At 40.2% G+C, this 19470-nt stretch overlaps 1 protein-coding gene across 6 annotated transcripts in view, besides 3 other annotated features; it reads right to left on the bottom strand.

Moving 5' to 3' along the window:
- Positions 1 to 16716, bottom strand: part of SEC22A (SEC22 homolog A, vesicle trafficking protein) — a 72194-nt gene extending 55478 nt beyond the window's left edge. Inside the window, exons 1-3 of one of the 6 annotated variants that reach the window (XM_011512675.4) lie at positions 16525 to 16716; positions 13846 to 13943; positions 9260 to 9460 (exon numbers count right to left, since the gene is read on the bottom strand). In XM_011512675.4, the coding sequence (XP_011510977.1) occupies positions 9260 to 9441 (182 nt within the window). In that variant the 5' untranslated portion in view covers positions 9442 to 9460; positions 13846 to 13943; positions 16525 to 16716. Of the gene's footprint in view, positions 1 to 9259; positions 9461 to 9721; positions 9839 to 11551; positions 12359 to 13845; positions 15571 to 16524 lie in introns of those variants that run through there. The other 5 variants (XM_011512676.4, NM_012430.5, XM_011512673.4 and 2 more) reach the window with 5 other exon arrangements.
- Positions 16630 to 16679: an enhancer, noted in NCBI's record as "active region_20392". NCBI's record gives its function as "activates an Ori minimal core promoter by ATAC-STARR-seq in GM12878 lymphoblastoid cells {active_cell/tissue: GM12878}" and the evidence as "EXISTENCE:reporter gene assay evidence [ECO:0000049][PMID:35858748]".
- Positions 16920 to 16999: an enhancer, noted in NCBI's record as "active region_20391". NCBI's record gives its function as "activates an Ori minimal core promoter by ATAC-STARR-seq in GM12878 lymphoblastoid cells {active_cell/tissue: GM12878}" and the evidence as "EXISTENCE:reporter gene assay evidence [ECO:0000049][PMID:35858748]".
- Positions 17010 to 17159: an enhancer, noted in NCBI's record as "active region_20390". NCBI's record gives its function as "activates an Ori minimal core promoter by ATAC-STARR-seq in GM12878 lymphoblastoid cells {active_cell/tissue: GM12878}" and the evidence as "EXISTENCE:reporter gene assay evidence [ECO:0000049][PMID:35858748]".

Here is a 19470-nt window from a genome sequence, read left to right as displayed (position 1 = left end):
CTGTTCTCCAGAAGGCTTTATTGAGGGTTCAGGTCAGTGAATCTTCGACATGTCCTTAAGAGAGGGATGTTCTCAAGAGCCAGGTAGAATTACTCACCTTCACAGTGAGTACCCCGAGAATGGCTATGCAGGTCTCAAAGACTTGTCTGCTCTCCCTTTATCACTGTCATTACTCACACACAGACAGACACACATACAAACACACACTCTCTCCTCTTTTCTCTATCTTGGGCACAATTTTTAAATTGCCAAGGTTTTTTCCTACTTTGCTCTAATTTCCTTTATATTGTTTAGCTCCATTCCATTTCTGGGCTTTGGTGCCAGTGGGGTTTGGTCTTTACTGGTACTGCTTTTCTTTTACCTGAGGAATTTATCCAATTTCATTATATTTTTGGTTCTCCTCCCTGGCACACCCACTAGGAACTTCTTTAGGGTCAAGTATAACCTAACAGGTAAGACTGGCAGAAGTCCAAATACCAGACATAGGAGATTTACCCCTTCTAATCACTTTGCTAAAAAGCTAATTCTATAATGTGTCCAAGCCATTCCACAAGTGATTCCTATGTTCAACAAAATGAATAAATGGTTTTACACATTAAACTTTTTTCTAGTATCTAATTTGATTTACAAACTGTCGAAGAAATTTTACATATCACCAATTAAACACTGACATTATTAGGACAATTCTGGCCTGTTGCACCAAACTAAATAATTAGTAATAGCAAATATCTTCCTCTCAGCAGACAGAACACCTAGCATAGGGCCAGCATTCTACTTCATAGGCTCTGATGTCAAAGATATAGTCCCTGCCTGCCAGGAGCTTACCATACTACTACTGGGGATGTGCTTATCACAGTGATTTACAAACCAAGATATATACATAAAATGTAGCATGCTAAATGACAAGGTACATAGATAGCAAATGATTTAGTATTACAAACTGATTTATGAACTGATATATTATTTGTATTACATATAACATGTAATTTTCATGCTATAATTGTGCCACTATACATAGAAACTCTGCTTATCCTTTGTAGTCACATTTGCCCAGTGAATAGCTTTCCTGGGTGCAGAAAAGTTCTTTAATAGGACATACCATCTCTAATCTACTGTTAAATTTGCCAAGTATAAAAAAATGTTTTGGGCCGGGTGCGGTGGCTCACGCCTGTAATCCCAGCACTTTGGGAGGCCGAGGAGGGCAGATCATGAGGTCAGGAGATCAAGACCATCCTGGCTAACACGGTGAAACCCCATCTCCACTAAAAAAAAAAATAAAAAAATACAAAAAAAATTAGCCGGGTGTGGTGGCGGGCACCTGTAGTCCCAGCCACTCAGGAGGCTGAGGCAGGAGAATGGCCTGAACCCAGGAGGCGGAGCTTGCAGTGAGCCAAGATCGTGCCATTGCACTCCAGCCTGGGCGACAGAGCGAGACTCCATCTCAAAAAAAAAAAATGTTTTGGAATAGAGCCTTCCACATTGAATTCCATTCTCTAAAATAAAGTGTTGAAACTTTAAAATATTAAATAGGGCCAGGTGCAGCGGCTCACACCTGTAATCCCAATGTTTTGGGAGGCTGAGGCAGAAGGACTACTTGAGCCCAGGAGTTAGAGACCAGCCTAGACAACAAAGTGAGATGCCATCTCTACAAAAAATTGTTTTAAATTAGCCAGGTGTGGTGATGCACACCCATAGTCACAGCTACTCAGGAGGCTGAGGCAGGAGGATCACGTGAACCCAGGAGTTCAAGGGTGCTATGAGCTGATTGTGCCACTGTACTCCTGCCTGGGCAACAGAGCAAAACCCCATCTCTAAAAATAAAAATAAAATATTGAATAGAGGGGCTCAACATTAACAAAGTGAGCATATCTTATGAATTGTATTATCACCAAATATGTCTCATAGAAAACAAGATGAAAACAAAAGACTCTGCCACTAGTGGAACAGTAAGGAGATAAGAATGAGGGCTCAGTAACACTGAGTGTCCATTACATGTAGCATTTTACCAGGAACTTTCTATTTTCTCACTTACTCCTTTCTTACATGGCCAACTTTCAATTACCCTCCAATGGTGAAGCGCCACATCATGAATAAATCATCCTATGAATAAAAGACCCATTTTAGCCATAAATTTTAACATCATTAAAAATGAAAATATTTATTAATATGAAATATGCCAGATGATGGTAACTTACAACAGTAACCTAAAGGAGAATCTGAGATCATTTTAAGAAGTCAATGGTAATTACACCATGAGAGACTTGGATAAAACACAGAACAAGCAAAGTTTGCCTTTGACATCTTTATTTCCTTTTCTTCAGAGTTAATCTCCCAATTCACCCTTTCTCACTTCCCTAACACAGCCACACTCCAGAGAATGAAGATCCTGACTTTTTTAGATAACTGATCAGATAATCCCTAACTTACATATTGGGTATATTTCCCAAAGCTTATTGCATCTAGATCTCATTTTCCCACAGAAACTGTACTATAACAGTAATTAGGTTCCTAGGCCAGTTCACAAGAGCCTATTTAACATACATGGTGCTGAAAAGCTGTACATTTTGCCATAATAAGCAGGAGAAAAGGAATGTGATACTAGTAATGAGACAAAATAGGAAAATTGAATACCCAGGTTATCTCCTTCCCCCAACTGGTTTAGTAGTTATAGGTTGGTTGCATTTCCCTGCCACACCCTCTCCCTGCCAAACACCTAGTCTACAATGAGACAATGCTGTCCCATCAATTTTAGGATTCACACATACTCTGTTCCTCATTATTATTGACCAAAAAAAGAGGGGGGTGGTATTTCCCTTCATTCTCTTCCCTGGTTCATTTCTCTCTCCATAAAAAGTGAAAAGAATTGGGAGAATTAGGAACACATGCTGCCAAGAAAGGGGTTAAGGGTAAAGAGCAGCAGCCATTTTTTACCAGATAATAATGCGATGCCTGAATCCAAAAGATTGTGGTTCATATATATCATTTACTATTTTTGTGACGTTGAAGGAGCTCCTTTACATTCCTAAGTCTCATTTACCTTATCTGTAAAATAGGGTAGTGATAGCACTACCCAGCATCTACCTGCCCAGCATCCCTTCCCTCTTTCCCTTTGGGGAATTACCTTCAGCGCCATTCTGTATGGCTTTGGTAAAGCTCAAAGGGGTAAGGACATGTGATGCAGTCTTAGCCAAATAAGAGTACCTCATCCCCTCTGACTACAATGATTAATCAGTCTAGAAATGGTCAATTATACAAGCAAAGACAATGTCTTGTTCTTGAGACATGGAGAGGAGTTGCTCAGTTGGACTGAAGTAAGCCTGGAGCTGTCTGTGTAGTGCTTTCAAGTCGTAGAGAGTATCTATCTGCAAAAGGTGAGAGACTGTAGAAATGAGAAAGATTCCTGATAACATCTGTGAAGCCAGCTCCACCACTACCCTTCAAAATACCCATTTTTCCTTAAGCTAATGTGAGTTGTGTGTCTGCCCCTGGCAATGGAAAAGAGCTCTATTTAATAGCCCTTCACAGAGCTGTTAGAAAGCTTAATGATAATGTCAGTAAAGTACCTGGCAATAGCAAGTACTCAATAATTGGGTTATAGTTTAAGTTGTTACTCTAGTAATCAGAAAATTTCCCGAAAGAGTGAAAGGGAAACACTGCTAGACACTAAAGCCAAAATGCAGGTAAGCCTAAAACAGTATTCCTGGCTGGAGGTAGCAGTGTAGGGAGAAAGTGAACCCTCAGGCAAGGAAAAAACATTAGGAGGCTCACAGCGATTATACGGCTTCAAATGAATTCACAGTGAAAGAACTAAAAAATTTTACTTCTTGCACTAAAATTCACAATAGGATATGATTGGCTTCCCAAAAGGTATTTGTCTTTTCAGCATCTTACTGTTTAAATAAAGAGATTTCAAAATGTACAACTATGATTTTTAAATCTCTAAAGCCAACTGCAAAGTTTTAAAGATCTCAGATGACCCAACCTAATTTCCATATGGTTCATACTTACTTTAGCCATGTTTTTTTCTTAAGTGGTAACATAAGTTTATTCATTAAAAATTCATTACAGTCTAAGGAAAGTACCCTTCGACTTATAAAACAGATGAATTCCTTAAAATTTTATATAGAGAGAATTGGAATATCACTATAGAATGTGAGAAGAAATCACAAAACTGAACACCCCACACTACACACCATCCTGCCCAATCAACAAGGTTTCTCTGGCACTCTGAATGCTGTCATATTCCTAAAACAACCATCCCTCATTTAGTAGCTACTACGACATGCACAAGGAACTGTGCTAGCACAAGCCATGCTCCACAGAATGTCCTTCATTGGCGAAACAGAAGTATCCAGCTACTACATTCATTTGAAATTCATCATTTTCCCAATACAGAGGAGAAGAAAACTAAAGGAATTTTCTCAATTTTATTTTATTTTTAAATTTTATTTATTTATTTATTTTGAGGCAGAGTCTCACTCTGTTGCCCAGGCTGGAGTGCAGTGGCACGATCTCAGCTCACTGCAGCCTCCGCTTCCTGGGTTCAAGTGATTCTCTTGCCTCAGCCTCCTGAGTAGCTTGGATTAGAGATGTCCATCACCACACCCGGCTTTTTATTTTTTATTTTTTTTATTTTTAGTAGAGACAGGGTTTCACCATGTTGTCCAGGATGGTCTCAAACTCCTGACCTCAGGTGATCTGCCAGCCTTGGCCTCCCAAAGTGCTGGGATTACAGGCGTGAGCCACCAGACCCAGCCTAATTATCTCAATTTTAAATGTTACTCCCCTGATTTTTTTTTCCTTCAAACTCTGGTCTTCCCTTGCCTATTCAACTAGAATTTAATGTGAGGTATCAACTGATTTGGCACATAATTATATACTTAGTGATTTTGAGATTCTGTAAAGAAAGAGTATCTCAATTTCTACACAAATTTGAAAACCACAATGCCAAGAGTTGAGGAATCAAAAATAGTATAAGCCATGGCAGATCAATTCCCTCAATGAGTTACAACCCTGTTATAAAGAGAGGATGGAGAAATAAAATTAAATTAAAAATAAGAAATTTTAATAAGTGATGAAAAAGGCAGTCAACCGAGTTCTACAGGTGATCTGTGAAAGGAGTGAGATCATTAGAGACATAAAATAGTAATGAGAAAGAAGGTGATTCAAAAGAAGTAGGGTTTGAAGGAAAGAAGCATTTAATATGGCTAGGAGAAAAGAGGGACAGCATGGTGGCAATTTCAGGCTGTGCTATGATGTTGCTACAGCAGACCTGTGAGTTTTATCTAGCAAACTCATAGTTGTTAGAAAAACAGTTGTGGTGTGAGAATTTTAAGTCAGGTAACACACACAAATTCTCAATTTTACGCATTTCAGTCTAAGCTCAATGTCATATAAGGTAACAACCTCATTAAACAGAAACTAAACCACAAGATCTCTTATCAATGATAGAAAACATATGAAATCCAGGTCCTTGTCAGGAACTAGAACTAGAACTTCTGTTTTCCAATCCTTATTGAAGGTTTGGTACAAAAAAACATGCATAGACATTTTTCTATGCATGGCTCTGAAATGCATTTATCTGAATTGTATTCTTGAACTAGACCAGATTAGACTTCTGCTGATTTATCCCACTCCTAAACTCTCATAATTATAGTTGCTGGAAGAATGTTATCCAAATGCTGTCCTCTTTATGTACTTCTGGTCTCAATAACAGGAAAAACAATGTTTTTATCCAATGGACACTAAATCCTATGGATTACCCCCTTTGCTTTGGCCACAAGGAAACTCAACGGTAATATCTGCAACCTTTTTCTAACAAATGGATGGACTATCTAGTTTGCATCTCCAGAAGGAAATGTTACCTCAGTTTATTATTCTCCTATCTCTATTTTCCTTCTTTTGACTCCCTTACTTGGCCCCTTGAATTTTTTTTTTCCTAAATTGCCTCAAATCCTTTGTGTGGAATAAGCTGGAGTACAACTAACTAAAACTAAATGATACAAAATCTAGAATTTTCAGTTAAATAGAATGAAGGGATGTTAAAACGTTACATTTTACTTTACTTTTAAGAAAAGTCAAAATAAATTTTTTTAATTTTAAAAGAGAGTCAAAAGAAAAAAAATTGCAAAAGTTTAAGTCCAGCACACCTACCAGAATTAATATACATTCAAGCCAATCTCCTAAAACTTTGATATTTGTTTATACCACTATACATTCACAAATAAAACTCAGAATAATGACCCAGGACACTAACAGAGCCTATTAAATAAAATATTGAAATATTTCAAGTTTTTCCTCTAAAAAAATAGAAGTAGGTTGAGACATCATTTTACATATATTTTAATCACCATAATCACAATATTTTCTAATTAAACCCTCAGAAACCCCAATTAAATATAACATCTTACCATTATCCAGGTGATCTAAGAAATTGTGGACATTCTCCAAGGTTCTAACCTGGGCCCTCTCTCTAAACCCAGTAGGCACTTCTCCCCTCACAATATCAACCACATCTACGTGAATGATTCCAAAATCTCTATCCCATCTCCACTGAACTACCTTGTCAAAACCTCAATTTATTTATTTTATTTATATATATTTTTTGAGACAGGGTCTTGCTCTGTCACCCTGGAATGCAGGGGTGAGATCATGGCTCACTGCAGCCTCAACCTCCTAGGCTCAAGCGATCCTCCCACGTATGTCGCCACAGTAGCTGGGACTATGTCACGCCTGGCTAATTTTTTAGTTTTTTGTAGAGACAGGGTCTCCCCATGTTGCCCATGCTGATCTCAAACTCCTGGGCTCAAGTGATCTGCCTGCCTCGGCCTCTCAAAGTGCTGAGATTACAGGTGTGAGCCACTGTGCTTGGCCTAAAACCTCAAGTTAAATAATTAAAGTGGGCCAGGTGCAGTGGCTCATGTCTGTAATCCCAGTACTTTGGGAGGCCAAGCAGGAGGATCACTTGAGCCCAGGTGTTTGAGGTCAACCTAGGCAACATGGTGAGACCTCATCCCTACTAAAAATAAAAAAATTAGCTGGGTGTGGTGGTGTGCACCTGTAGTCCCAGCTACTCAAGAGGCTGAAGTGGGAGGATCACTTGAGTCCAAGAGGTTGAGGCTCAGTGAGCTGTCATCATGCCACTGCATTCCAGCCTAGGTAACAGAGCAAGCCCCAGTGTCTTAAAAAAATGATCAAAATGGAGCTTCATTATCTTTCTCTTCTGCCTCACACCTCATAAACAGTCTGTTCCAAAGATCTCATTTCTGGCAATGACACCAACATTCTGTCCAATTCCAAGGCTTCAGTCATCTTTGCCCCTTCCTTCTTTTCATCTCTGGTATTCCATCCTATCCAGCTTGGTCACTTCTTTTGAAGTGATCCAACTTCAAAGTGATCCCCAATCAAACTATTTCTCATTATCATTCTAGTTCTTTTGGTGTTCTAATTTTCATTTGCACGTTTATTTTCTTACTTCAGGCCCTAATAAGTTGGCCTCTCTGCCTTATCTCTCTCCTCTTGGACTGTCCACTCACCCTAAGTTCCACTGTCTCAGGATTGTTTTTATCAAGTCACTTCCCTTGAACCTGCAGCACAGCTTCCTATAACATATTACATCAAAGTCACGTCCTTCAATCTGAACTTTCAGGGCGATCCAGGATCTGGCCCCACAATGATTATCACGCATGTCTCACAACTATCCATAAATCACCATCCACTGACCCAGGATAAGCATGTTAATACACCTACCATGCTAAGTCACATTCTTTGCTTATTCTGCCTCTCCTCCGTACACCTGGAATGCCCTCCTCCCTGCCTTAGCCAACTCTTATTAATTCTTCAGGACATGGCTCATGTCTCATCTCAACAACGAAGCCCTCTGCTTATTATATCCTATATGGACTGTGTTTTTACCTTATTTCCTTCTGTATGCATAATCAATATCCAGCTTGATATCAGACATTAATTGTTCTCTAATTGTTTCACGTCTAAGCTTTCCAAGGTGGTCTCATCCATTCCCATGGTTTTAATCACAAACTGTAAGCTGACTTCCAAATCTAAATGTCTATACTTGTCCTCTTCACTAAGCTTCAGACTCATATATCCAGCTGCTTACCTAGCAGTGCCCCTTGGATGTCTAATGGGCATCTCAGATTTAACATGTCCAAACAGAACTCTTACTTTTTACCAAGGAGACGCACTTATCCTCTCCTTTCTTGCTCATTTCAGCTACATTATTCATCCAGTTCCTCAGGCCAAAAAACTACAGGTGATTATTCTTCTTTTACCTTCACATCCTATTTCAATCCAGTAGGAAGATTTGCTGGTATTAATCCCAAAATATAGCCCCAATCTAACTACTTCTATTCATTACTACCCTAGCTCGTTACAATCAGCACCTCCACCTGAACTTCTCTGAGTCTTCCATCTGACCTCTCTGCTTCCACTTCCTCCTTTATTCTTCACAGTGCAGGCAGAATGATCTACTCTAAGCCAAATGAAATCATGTAACTCTATAGCTTAAAACTACCCAATGGCTTCCTACTGCATTAGACTAAACAGACTAATAGACTCCAAACTCACTACATAACTTGCCCCATTCCTACCTTTCTGGCCTCACTTTCTGCAACTCTATTAATTGTCCATAATTCTTCAGGATCACTGGTTTTCTTTCTGTCTCTTGGCATGTAAAAAAGGGCTTCTCCACTGGCTGCTACCTCTGCCTTGCTCTTCATCCACAGCATCCTTCATATAATTACCTCCTCTCTCATCTTTTAGGTCTCTGCTCAAATGTCACCCTCTCAGAGAGTGTCTTGACCACAATAAATAGTCACTCTCTATCCCATTGCCCAGTTTTACTTGATTTGTATGTGACTCAGTGATAAGTGCTACCCCCTCCCACTAGACGTAAGTTGCTTCAGTTCTTTGAGGGCAGATATCAGGTAAAAAATTTTTATTTCCAATTATAGTTTGCTTACTACAACCCTAGGTATGTAAGAATGCAAATAAATATTTAGTGATCAACTTAAAAGAGGGATATCTATGATCTGCACAACTATAAAATTTCCCAGAGCCAGATACAAAGAAACTACAAAAAGGCTGCTGCTGACATGATGACTATTTAGTATAAGTTCAGAACAATATGATGCTCGACTTGAACAGGTTTTCCTAATCACTCCTTTCTATTGCAACCACTTAAACTTCATTAAAATGACAACTACTGGGCAAATGAGTCAAATGAAGCAAACTGAAGTCTTACTTAATGTTATAATGTCCAGTTTTCAGTGTACATCTATCAGGAAGTTGAGCAAGTTTCCTCGAAAGCATTTTAAAATACTTTCTGCACTCCTGCATTCCTGTGCTTTGTTCATAATCAGTAGAAGCAGAAAGTGGCAGTCCATCTCTGACACGAATGACTGAGGCAGATAAAATCATAGACATTTCAACCAACAGAGAAGACCTAAAACAAAATGAACAATTTGGGTTACATAAAAATTAAAGCCAAACTTGATAAGCATATGTAAAAATGTTCAACTTACTAGTAATATAAGAATAGTAATTAAAATGGCCAGGTGTGGTGGCTCACACCTGTAATCCCAGCACTTTGGGTGGCTGAGGAGGGTGGATCACAAGATCAGGAGTTTGAGACCAGCCTGGCCAACATGATGAAACCCCTTCTCTACTAAAAATACAAAAATTAGCCAGGCGTGGTGGTGCACACCTGTAATCCCAGCTACTCAGGAGGCCGAGGCAGGAGAATTGCTTGAACCCGGGAGGCAGAGGTTGCAGTGAGCCGAAATCGCGTCACTGAGCTCCAGCCTGGGCGACAGAGTGAGACTCCGTCTCAGGAGGAAAAAAAAAACAAAAAACTAATTAAAACAACATACTATGCTTCACTTAACATATAGCTTTTGTTTTTTGTTTTTTGTTTTTTTTTTTGAGACAGCATCTTGCTCTGTCACCCAGGCTGGAGTGCAGTGGCGCCATCTTGGCTGACTGCAACATCCCCCATCCAGGGTTCAAGCAATTCTCATGCCTCAGCCTGGGTTCCCATGCCACAGCATAGGATGTGGCTGGGACTATAGGCGCCTGCCACAGTGCTGGGATTACAGGCATGAGCCACCACACCCAGCCACATTAGCTTTTTAAAAAATAATACTTCTGTCTGGCATTCTCATAAGTACAGATGGAAGTAAAAACTGGTACAAACAGTTCTCAAAATGATTTGGCAATTTCAACAAGAGTCTGAAGGCATACCTTTTAACCTCAATAAATTTAAATATATACCTGTCTTGAGAAAAATAATCAGAAATCCAGGCAAAATTTTAAACAGAAAGACATTCTTCCACTCAAATAACTGAAAGCAATCTAAATATCCTATAAAATGGTGATGGTTAAGTAAATTATAGTATATTCATATAACAGAATATAATGCAGCAACTAAAAGTTATGTTTGTGGAGAAAGTTTAATAATGTGGTAAAATGCTTACATGTTAAGGAGAAAAAAGTAGGATAAAAATTGCAAATGTTGTTTTACACAAACATAAGGATAAAGAGACGAAGATAAAGAGAAGGAAAAAGGGATTGAAAAACGGATGCAGAAAAAGATGCCAAATTAAGAATATGCTCACCTCTAAGAAATGGTATTATTGGTTATTATTATTTTATAATTTCCTAAATGTTCTCAATATTCACAGTAGACATATACTACTTTTATAATCAGAAAAAAATTATTTAAAATAAATCCTAAAGCTAAAGGAATATTGGTTTTAATGTTGTTCTCAATCTTTTTACCAGAAAGTAAATCTTAATGGCCTATTTTATTGGATTCTCTTCTTGCTTTACAAAAACAGATGAAAGGACTTCACAGGCCTGAGTCTGAAGGAACTCAGGTCAACAGTCACTCAACCTTTCATAAAATACACAGTGGCTCTCAAACTTTAGCTTGCATAAGAAGTTGAAAGTTTAGTTAAAAATGCAGATTTCTGAGCTCTGCCCTCAAAATTCTGAACCACTGACTGTGGGATAGGGCTTGACAATTTGCTTATTGTCTAAGGCCCATACTTTTTAAAACATTAAATTAAAACATGTTCACTATCTAAGATTAAGTGATAACTCTTCTCTGTCAGGCCATCAAAGCACAATGTCACTAAAGGCTTCCTCACTAGTGGTGAGGCAACTGGTGAAAATTCAAAAATCTGATAAAAATCTCACAGGCATTTTTCCAAAAATATTGTATCTTAGAGACTAAATTAATCCTTACCTGCCCACTTAATCTAGGTCAATATTATCTCATTCCAAAAAGGAAAAAATGAGTAATATATATAAAAAAAAATACCACAGAAAACCAGTTGTTACAAAGCTTGTAAATCAGGAGCTGATAGTTTTCACTGCTGTGTGAAGTCAAAATATGACTTCCCATTCATGGTGATAACTGATCTGACAATAAAAATTAACCCAACTAATAAATCTAATGCATTAAGTTCACTATCCCTTTTTCCTCTTTTCATGAGGAAAAAGGAGAAATCTCTAGGTGTTACTGTGTCATTACCCTTTAATATTTTTCTCCTTCAGAGACAGGGTCTCACTGTGTCACCCAGACGAGTGTAGTGGTGCGATCTCAGTTCACTGCAACCTCCACCTCCCAGATTCAAGCAATTCTCATGCCTCAGCCTCGCGAGTAGCTAGGATTACAGGCATGCGCCACAACACCCAGCTCATTTTTGTATTTTCAGTAGAGATGAGGTTTCGCCATGTTGGCCAGGCTGGTCTCAAACTCCTGGCCTGAAGTGATCTGTCCACCTCAGCCTCCCAAAGTACTAGGATTACAGGCATGAGCTACCACGCCCAGCCTCTCCATTCATTTAAAGAGAAAAATATCCAGAAGCAAATTAGTCTTTTTACTACAGTGGAGTCTTCAAACTGAAGTCCCAGTGTGACATATCCCAATTGGTGTTTTTTTCCATTCATCTAGTTTTTTTCTCTCCTAAAAGCAGTAGCATGAAAAAGTTGGGATCCCTGAAGAGATATCTATACTATAAACCCCTCTTTAATTTTTTTTTTACCATGTTTTACTTAATTATTAAATCACAATTGTAACATTTAGCCTAAGTGTAAGAAAGTAGGAAAATGTCTTACTCTATCCCCTTAAGCGTTTATTATTTAACTATAAAACTGTTGTCTTTCCAGAAGTACACTGCAACACAATAACCATTCTGGGAATTAATTTGAGGGTGAGTTGTAACTTGCAGTTCTAAATACCCACATTTTAGTATTTAAAAGCAGATTGGATGGGGTGCCATGGCTTATACCCATAATCCCAACACTGCTTGAGGCCAGGAGTTCAAGACCAACCTAGAAACATGGTGAGGCTCTGTCTCTATAAAAAAAATTAAAAATCAGCTGGGCATGGTGGCACACGCCTATAGTACTTGCTTTGGGGAGGCTGAAGCAGGCCCAGGAGTTCAAGGCAATGGTGAGCTATGATTGTGCCACTGCAGTCCAACCTGGGTGATGAGAGAGATCCTGTCTCAAAAAGTAAAATAAAAGTAGACTGTATTATTTTATGTCTGGCCTCTCTAGGATCCTAATAGAAATATTATGAATAGACTTCATTAATAGGTTGCCAAATTTCATGTAGTCTTCAAAGTTATTCTTTAGTGACTTGGAGGACAGATCAATAAATATATGATCCATGCTTTCTAAAACACATACTGTAAAAAGAATACAATTTGTAAGTTCCATTCGTTTACCAAACATTTACTGAATATCTAATGTGTCCCATGAATTATGCCAGATAGCAGGAATGAAGAGTCCTACCATCAAGAAACATCACTCCTCAATTAGAGAAACTCAGTTGAAAAGAGCAAACAATGCAGGTGTGTTGCCCACCACTTCACTAACTGGAAAACTAAAGTTGGACAAACTTACATTTCAAATACTCCTTTTTTTGTTGTTTTTTTGTTTTGTTTTGTTTTGTTTTGAAACAGGGTCTCACTCTGTTGCCCAGGCTGGAGTGCAATGGCTCACTGCAACCTCTGCCTCCCAGGTTCAAGCGATTCCCCTGCCTCATCCTGCCAAGTAGCTGGGATTACAGGTGCCCGCCACCATGCCTGGCTAATTTTTGTATTTTTAGTAGAGATGGGGCTTAACTGTGTTGGCCAGGCTGGTCTCAAATTCTGACCTCAAGTGATCCACCTGCGTCGGCCTCACAAAGTGCTGGGATTACAGGTGTGAGCCACTGCGCCCAGCCTCAAATTTTCCTAATATGTACTTTAGCCTTTAACCAAAAGCAGAACACAGTAGTTACATTCCCTGTCAAAATTATTACAAGGTTGTCAGAGAATGGTTTCTACTTATCCATAGATAAGATTTTTCTTAGGGAAAAAATTAAACCTCTTTCTACCACAGTAATTTGATTCAGCATCCAAAGCACTTGAATTTAAGCCTGACAAACGGGGATGAATGTCCAATGATCAACGTCAGGCTTAACTAATTTGTAGACAGATTCCAACCACCTTAGGCTAAGCTGTCTCTCCATCAATTCAATAAACATACCCCTACTTTTTTTCTTTTTACCACGGATTCATAATATAGTTTGTTTTTTTTTAAACTAATCTTATCTGGACTGTGCTAGCAGAAAAGGAAATCTGTCCATGTCAGGCCTAAGCTAGGTTAAAGTATCTTTAAGGTCTTAAGGAGGGTTGTGGTTGGGAAAATCCCAAGGAAGAACCAGTGGAACTGTGGAAAGCAAGAGATTACAACAATTGCATGGGAAGATTTAGGAGTTTTTAGCTTATCGGGGCCATAGATAAATGTTTAGGGCACTGGGCCATTTCTCCTCACCTTTAATACAGAGAAAATATTACACCTGCCTTTGTACAGCAGCAGTTAACTCACAGGGAACCTGAATAGTGGCTATTTTTTCCTCTCCCCATCAGCAACTGTTGGAGGAAAAAGCACAAGCTAGAATCTAGGTAAATCTGGGTAAACTTTTATGTAAAGGCTGAGGAAAATAAATTCCCACAATGCCAAACTACTATAGTAGTGGTTAGCAAGTTCCTGGACCCAAGATAATAAGACACCCCTCTTCTTCAGAACCTTGTAGGGGTAATGACTACAGGCTCAATGTCTCAGGAAGTTATCTCTCAAAAGGTAATAAACAAAGCCCAACATGTAAGTGGATTTTGTATATACGTTCTAACCAAATGCTTTCACAAATGCCACTTTTAAGATAAAAACATTTTATACTGGGGGCAAAAGCACTCATATTTATTTTAGTTCATAACTTCCCAGTCTTCAGTCATCCAAGTACCACTTTCAGAATTATCTTCATCCACCTGTACTATTTACCTAATATTGGTCTTTGAATTGACTTACTTTTCTTGTCCTTTATTTTTTAGCAATAATATCTGTGAAATCAGTTTTGAGATGTTAAGTTTTTCTCCTAATTTAAATTAAATGAACTTGTTTCATTCAAATATGTATGTGTGTGAAAATTTGGGGAGAATTTTTTAATGTTCATTTGCTTATCAAATTATCTTGCATATGTGACAGTACCAAAGTTTGGGAAACAATACCAATATGGTACATATTATTTTATTAAAAGTGCTCGCTGAGGGTGGGGGATAGAGTGGGTGATAAAGGGGATGGAATTTCCGCCATTTTGCCTATGCCTTCTACCTCACTAGCAGTGTTCGACATTCCTATTATGGGTGCTTGCACTGCACAGTATGTATAAGACCTCAGGCTTCACAACAGATTTTACCCACATCTAGGACAGGGCCCCCAATACATGCTCAAATGTGTCAATCCCAACATTTTTATAGTGCCACATAGTTCACGGTTGGGTAGGTAAAACCACCATTTTACAGATGAGGAAACTAAGGCTCACTTTCTCAATGTCACACTGCTAGTATATAGCAGAACTGGTACTTCGGTCTAAGTTTCTAGTATCTCTACATCACTATGCTTCATCAGTCTCCCAAAACCAACAAGACACAAGAAACCAGGGATATAGAAACTATCTATTCACTTGCTGCCTGGGTTCTAATCCTGGCTCCACCATCTACCAGCCATGTAAATTTGGACAAGCTTTGCCTTTCTATATCTCAATTTCCACATCTATATATTGTGGCTACTAATAGCATCTATCTCATAGGCTTGTTTTAAAGATGACAATAGTATCTATCTCATAGGATCATGTAAAGTGCCTGAAACATTGCCTTGTAACATGCTAAAAGCACTACATTAAATATTTGCTGTATTATTTATTGATTACTCTCCATGGACCACGCACTTTATACACATTACCTCATTTAAGCGTTCCAAAAACCTGTGAGATAGGTATTATTAGTTCCATTTTACCTTTGAGGAAATTCAAGCCCAGAAAGCTTGAGGAATTTTTTTTAATCCCTAAACGAGTAGGTGACAAAGTAGGGATTTAAACTCAGGCCCAATTCTAACAACTCTGTGAGACACTCAAGGAAGGTCACAGGCACCCCTGTGATAAGACCTAGGCCTCTTTCATATACCAACATAAGATATACTTCGATTTTAACCAGTTGCACGCAAAAAAAAAAAAAAAAAAAAAAAAAAAAAAAAAAGGCACTAAACAGATGTGATGGTTTTCAACATAGGAAATACCCGAATGTCCCATTACTTTAGGATATGGTCACAGGTGTCAGAGTCAAATACTGAATGAACCTTAATATATCAGAAATTGTAGGTACCGTTTAAGGCATTGCCTGATTCCTTACAATCTTAGCATGTAAGCAAATATCAGTAACATGGAAAGTGATTCAGAGTTTGAAAAGTGGCTGTTCCCCTGACTGAAGATCCCAACATCTCCAGTCTGGTGGCTGATACTTTTGCTCTGGGCTAGGCTTTGCCTTGGCTGAATAGGCATAGGAGGGACTGGTTCTCAAGCTCGCCCCCTGCCCCAGGTGGATGATCCAGGAAACTAAGCAGCAGGGAAAAATTATCTTAAGCTGTCTTCACTGGCAGAGAGATTCAAGCCAGCTGGGGCTTGTCCTTTTCTTTTGGAAGCCTCCTCCACTTGCCGAGCCAATTGCTCAGGTCTCCCTTCTGCCACATCGTTCCCAAAGTGACTCTTGAGACAGGGTCTCAAGAGATTTCCGTGAGCCAACGCGGGCAAATATCTGGGCTCAGGGCTCACTCCATCCCCACAAAACGTAAAGTAAGACACTGGTTCAAGTCCCATTCTGCCTAAAAGAAATAGGAAATGCCACCTCAAGCTCTCATGGGCCACCTACACAGGTAGATCACCGTGTTTCTGACACCTGGGCGCCAGGGAATCCCCACCACCATGCTGACAGCCAAGTGCGACTGTCCCTCCCCTTCAAACACTCCTTTCCTGGCTGCCCAACACCCGAGGCGGCTCAGACGAGGCGCAACCGCCGCCCGCCTGGCCCCAGAGAACCCTCAAGTCGAAGGGGACGGGGTCCCCGCTTGCCCGTCCCTCCAGAGCTCCGCGGCCCCGACTCCCATCCCAAAGGCACGGACTTGGCTCCTGCCCGTGGGGTAGGTCTTCAATCCCGAGGGCGAAGGCCGAGGCTGTGGCGAGAGGCAGGGAGCGGGAGGGGAGAGGCCGGCAGGGATTCGAACGACCCCTAAGAAAGGAAGAAGAGGACTGGGAGGGGCCGGGGAGTACCTGTCGAGACGGGACCCGCCGCTCCGAGTGACGCGCCCCGAAGTGCATTGTGGGGCCTGGGAGGGACCTTTCGGCGACGCTGCGGCGCGTCCAACGTGGCTCGCGCCCGCGGAATCAAACCACGCCCCCGTTCCCTCAGCTCACCCAGGCCAATCGGGTTCTGCAGGAAGGACACAACAACCCCCCAGCTCCCGGGGCCCTCCTTAGTCCCACCCGCTCCAGGAGAGATTGGCAGCTTCTCTCGCACCTGCGCCAGAAAAGTACAGCATCCTCTGATGACAGAACTACGTTGACTTCAGAAATAGGGCCAATCTCTTCCGCTCGCCGCCCTGTTTCTGCAGGCATTTTGTCTCTCACACGCGGCCCTACAGCAGACACTTATAAAGGGGACAGGGAGAAAAGCCCCCTCTGGGTGAGCAAGGAGAAGACCTGGCCCCGTCTATTCCCACACACAAGAAGGAAACTAACCATGGCAGAGAAGTGCCAGATGCTGACCCTGCGACCCCTTCCAGCCTTCGCATCGGTCATGCATTATTAAACAGGCATTTCCTGACTGTTTACCATGTGCCAAGCACCGTGTTAAGCACGGGGTTACAGGAGTGGACATAACACTTGATGGAATTTAAGGAGTAATTGGAGCAAGAGATATTAAAGCATAAATAGTTACAGAACTACAAATTGTCAGTATTGGGAGGGAAAATTAGTGGGTGCAATGATCAATTAATTTTGGACTATCAGGGAAAAGACTTCTGAATAAGTGCCTTTTAAGCGGCAGGCATATTGAAGAGCCTTAGAGAATGTTCCCCGCCAAGGAAATATTGTGTGAGGTTGTCGGGGCATGAAAGAACTTCTTGTGCTCTAGGAACTAAAAGGGAGTCAGTGTGGATGGAGTGTAGGGAGCAAGGAGAAACTTTGCCCGTTGACCTTAAGATATCTTCCAAAATACAGCCTGAAATCTGTAATGTGGCCAATAAGAGTCAGCATGGTCTGGCCCTTGTCTCATCTCAGCCCAAGGTCAATGGGCAGCTAATAAAGACTATTAAGTAGGATCCTATTTGCATATTTAAGAATCACTCAGGCTGTTTGTGGAGAATAGTGTGGAAAAGGGCAAGAAGGGCTGCTGGAAAGCCATTTGGAGGCAGTTGCGTCAGGCAAAGCCAGAAATGATGGGGCTTGAACTAGTGTAATGGGAGTTAGAGACAGAAAGAGGTAGATAATTTCAAGATATGTATAAATTAGAAATGGTATCCAAGGGACTTCATAACGGATTGGTTTGCCGGGAAGGGTCAACAAAAAGGAATATTAAGGATGACTCCTTAAGTAACTAGATGGATTAAGAAGCCATTTACTGACTCATGGAACACAGAAAGAGGAGCAAATGGTTTGGAATATGTTAAATTTGAAATGCCTATAAATGGAGATGTCAAGTAGATTTGGATATGTAGGTCTAGAGTTCAGAAGAAAGGCCTGAACTAACATAAATTTTGTCCTAGATATATACTCAACATAAATGTATTCATATATTCACCAGAAAACATATGTATAAGAATGTTCATGAAATAAATAAATTTTAGAATATTCTGACCAGGCGCGATGGCTCACGCCTGTAATCCCAGCACTTTGGGAGGCCGGGGGCGGGGGTGGATCACTTGAGGTTGGGAGTTCGAGACCAGCCTGGCCAACATGGTGAAACCCCATCTCAACTAAAATACAAAAAAATTAGCCAGGCATGGTTGTAGGCATCTGTAATCCCAGCTACTTGGGAGGCTGAGGTAGGAGAATTGCTTAAACTGGGAGGCAGAGGTTGCAGTGAGCCAAGATCATGCCGCTGAACTCCAGCCTAGGCAACAGAGCAAGACTCCTTCTCAAAAAAAAAAAAAAAAAAAAAGGAAGAAGAATATTCACATAGTAGAATACTATACAGGAAAGACAATAATCTACAACCATATGCAAAGCATGCATGAATTTCACAATCATAAAAATTGAGTGAAATAAGTCAGACACAAAAAAGATTACTATATGATTCCATTTACATAATGTTCAAAATAAAAAATCATATAAGGTAATAGAAGTAAAATATTGGTTACCCAAGGGTAACCAATAAGTTATAATTATTAGTGTTAATAATTAGAAAGGAGCAATAAGGGGCTACTGGAGATCTAGTAATGTTCTTATTGATCCAGGTGTTGATTACATGGTGTTTTCAATTAATGAAGATTCACTGGACTGGATATGGTGGCTTGCTCACACCTGTAATCCCAACACAGCATTTTGGGAGGCCAAGGAGGCCGAGACAGACAGATTACTTGAGCTCAGGAGTTCAAGACCAGCCTGGGCAACATGGCCAAACCCTCTCTGAAAATTGGCCAGGCATGGTGGTGCACGCCTGTAGTCTCAGCTACTTGTGGGGCTGAGGTGGGAGGATTGCTTGAGTCCTGGAGGTCAATATTGCAGTGAGCCATGTTTGTGCCACTGCACTCCAGCCTGAGCAACAAAGTGAGACCCTGTGTCAAAAAAAAAAAAAAAAGGAAAAGAAAAAGAAAAGAAAATTCATCAAGCTGTATGCTATATTTATGAAATTTTCCAGTATGTATTTTACTATTGAATAGAAAGTTTATGTTTTTCCAAATGTTAAGAGCAATCCAGCCATGAATAAATAAGTGATACCAGACTAAACCTTCCACTACAAGTAACGGAAAACTGGACCAAATCTATGAAACAAGTGTTTCCAGGCATTGGACAACTGGCATAGTAAAGTTGTGATCTTGGAAGGAAGGAAAACAAACAAGATGAGTCCC

The sequence above is a fragment of the Homo sapiens genome, chromosome 3 (genome assembly GCF_000001405.40).
Source record: "Homo sapiens chromosome 3, GRCh38.p14 Primary Assembly".
Taxonomy (NCBI): Eukaryota; Metazoa; Chordata; class Mammalia; order Primates; family Hominidae; genus Homo; species Homo sapiens.
Note: the sequence above shows the minus strand (reverse complement) of the source record. Positions and strands in the feature narration are given on the sequence as shown.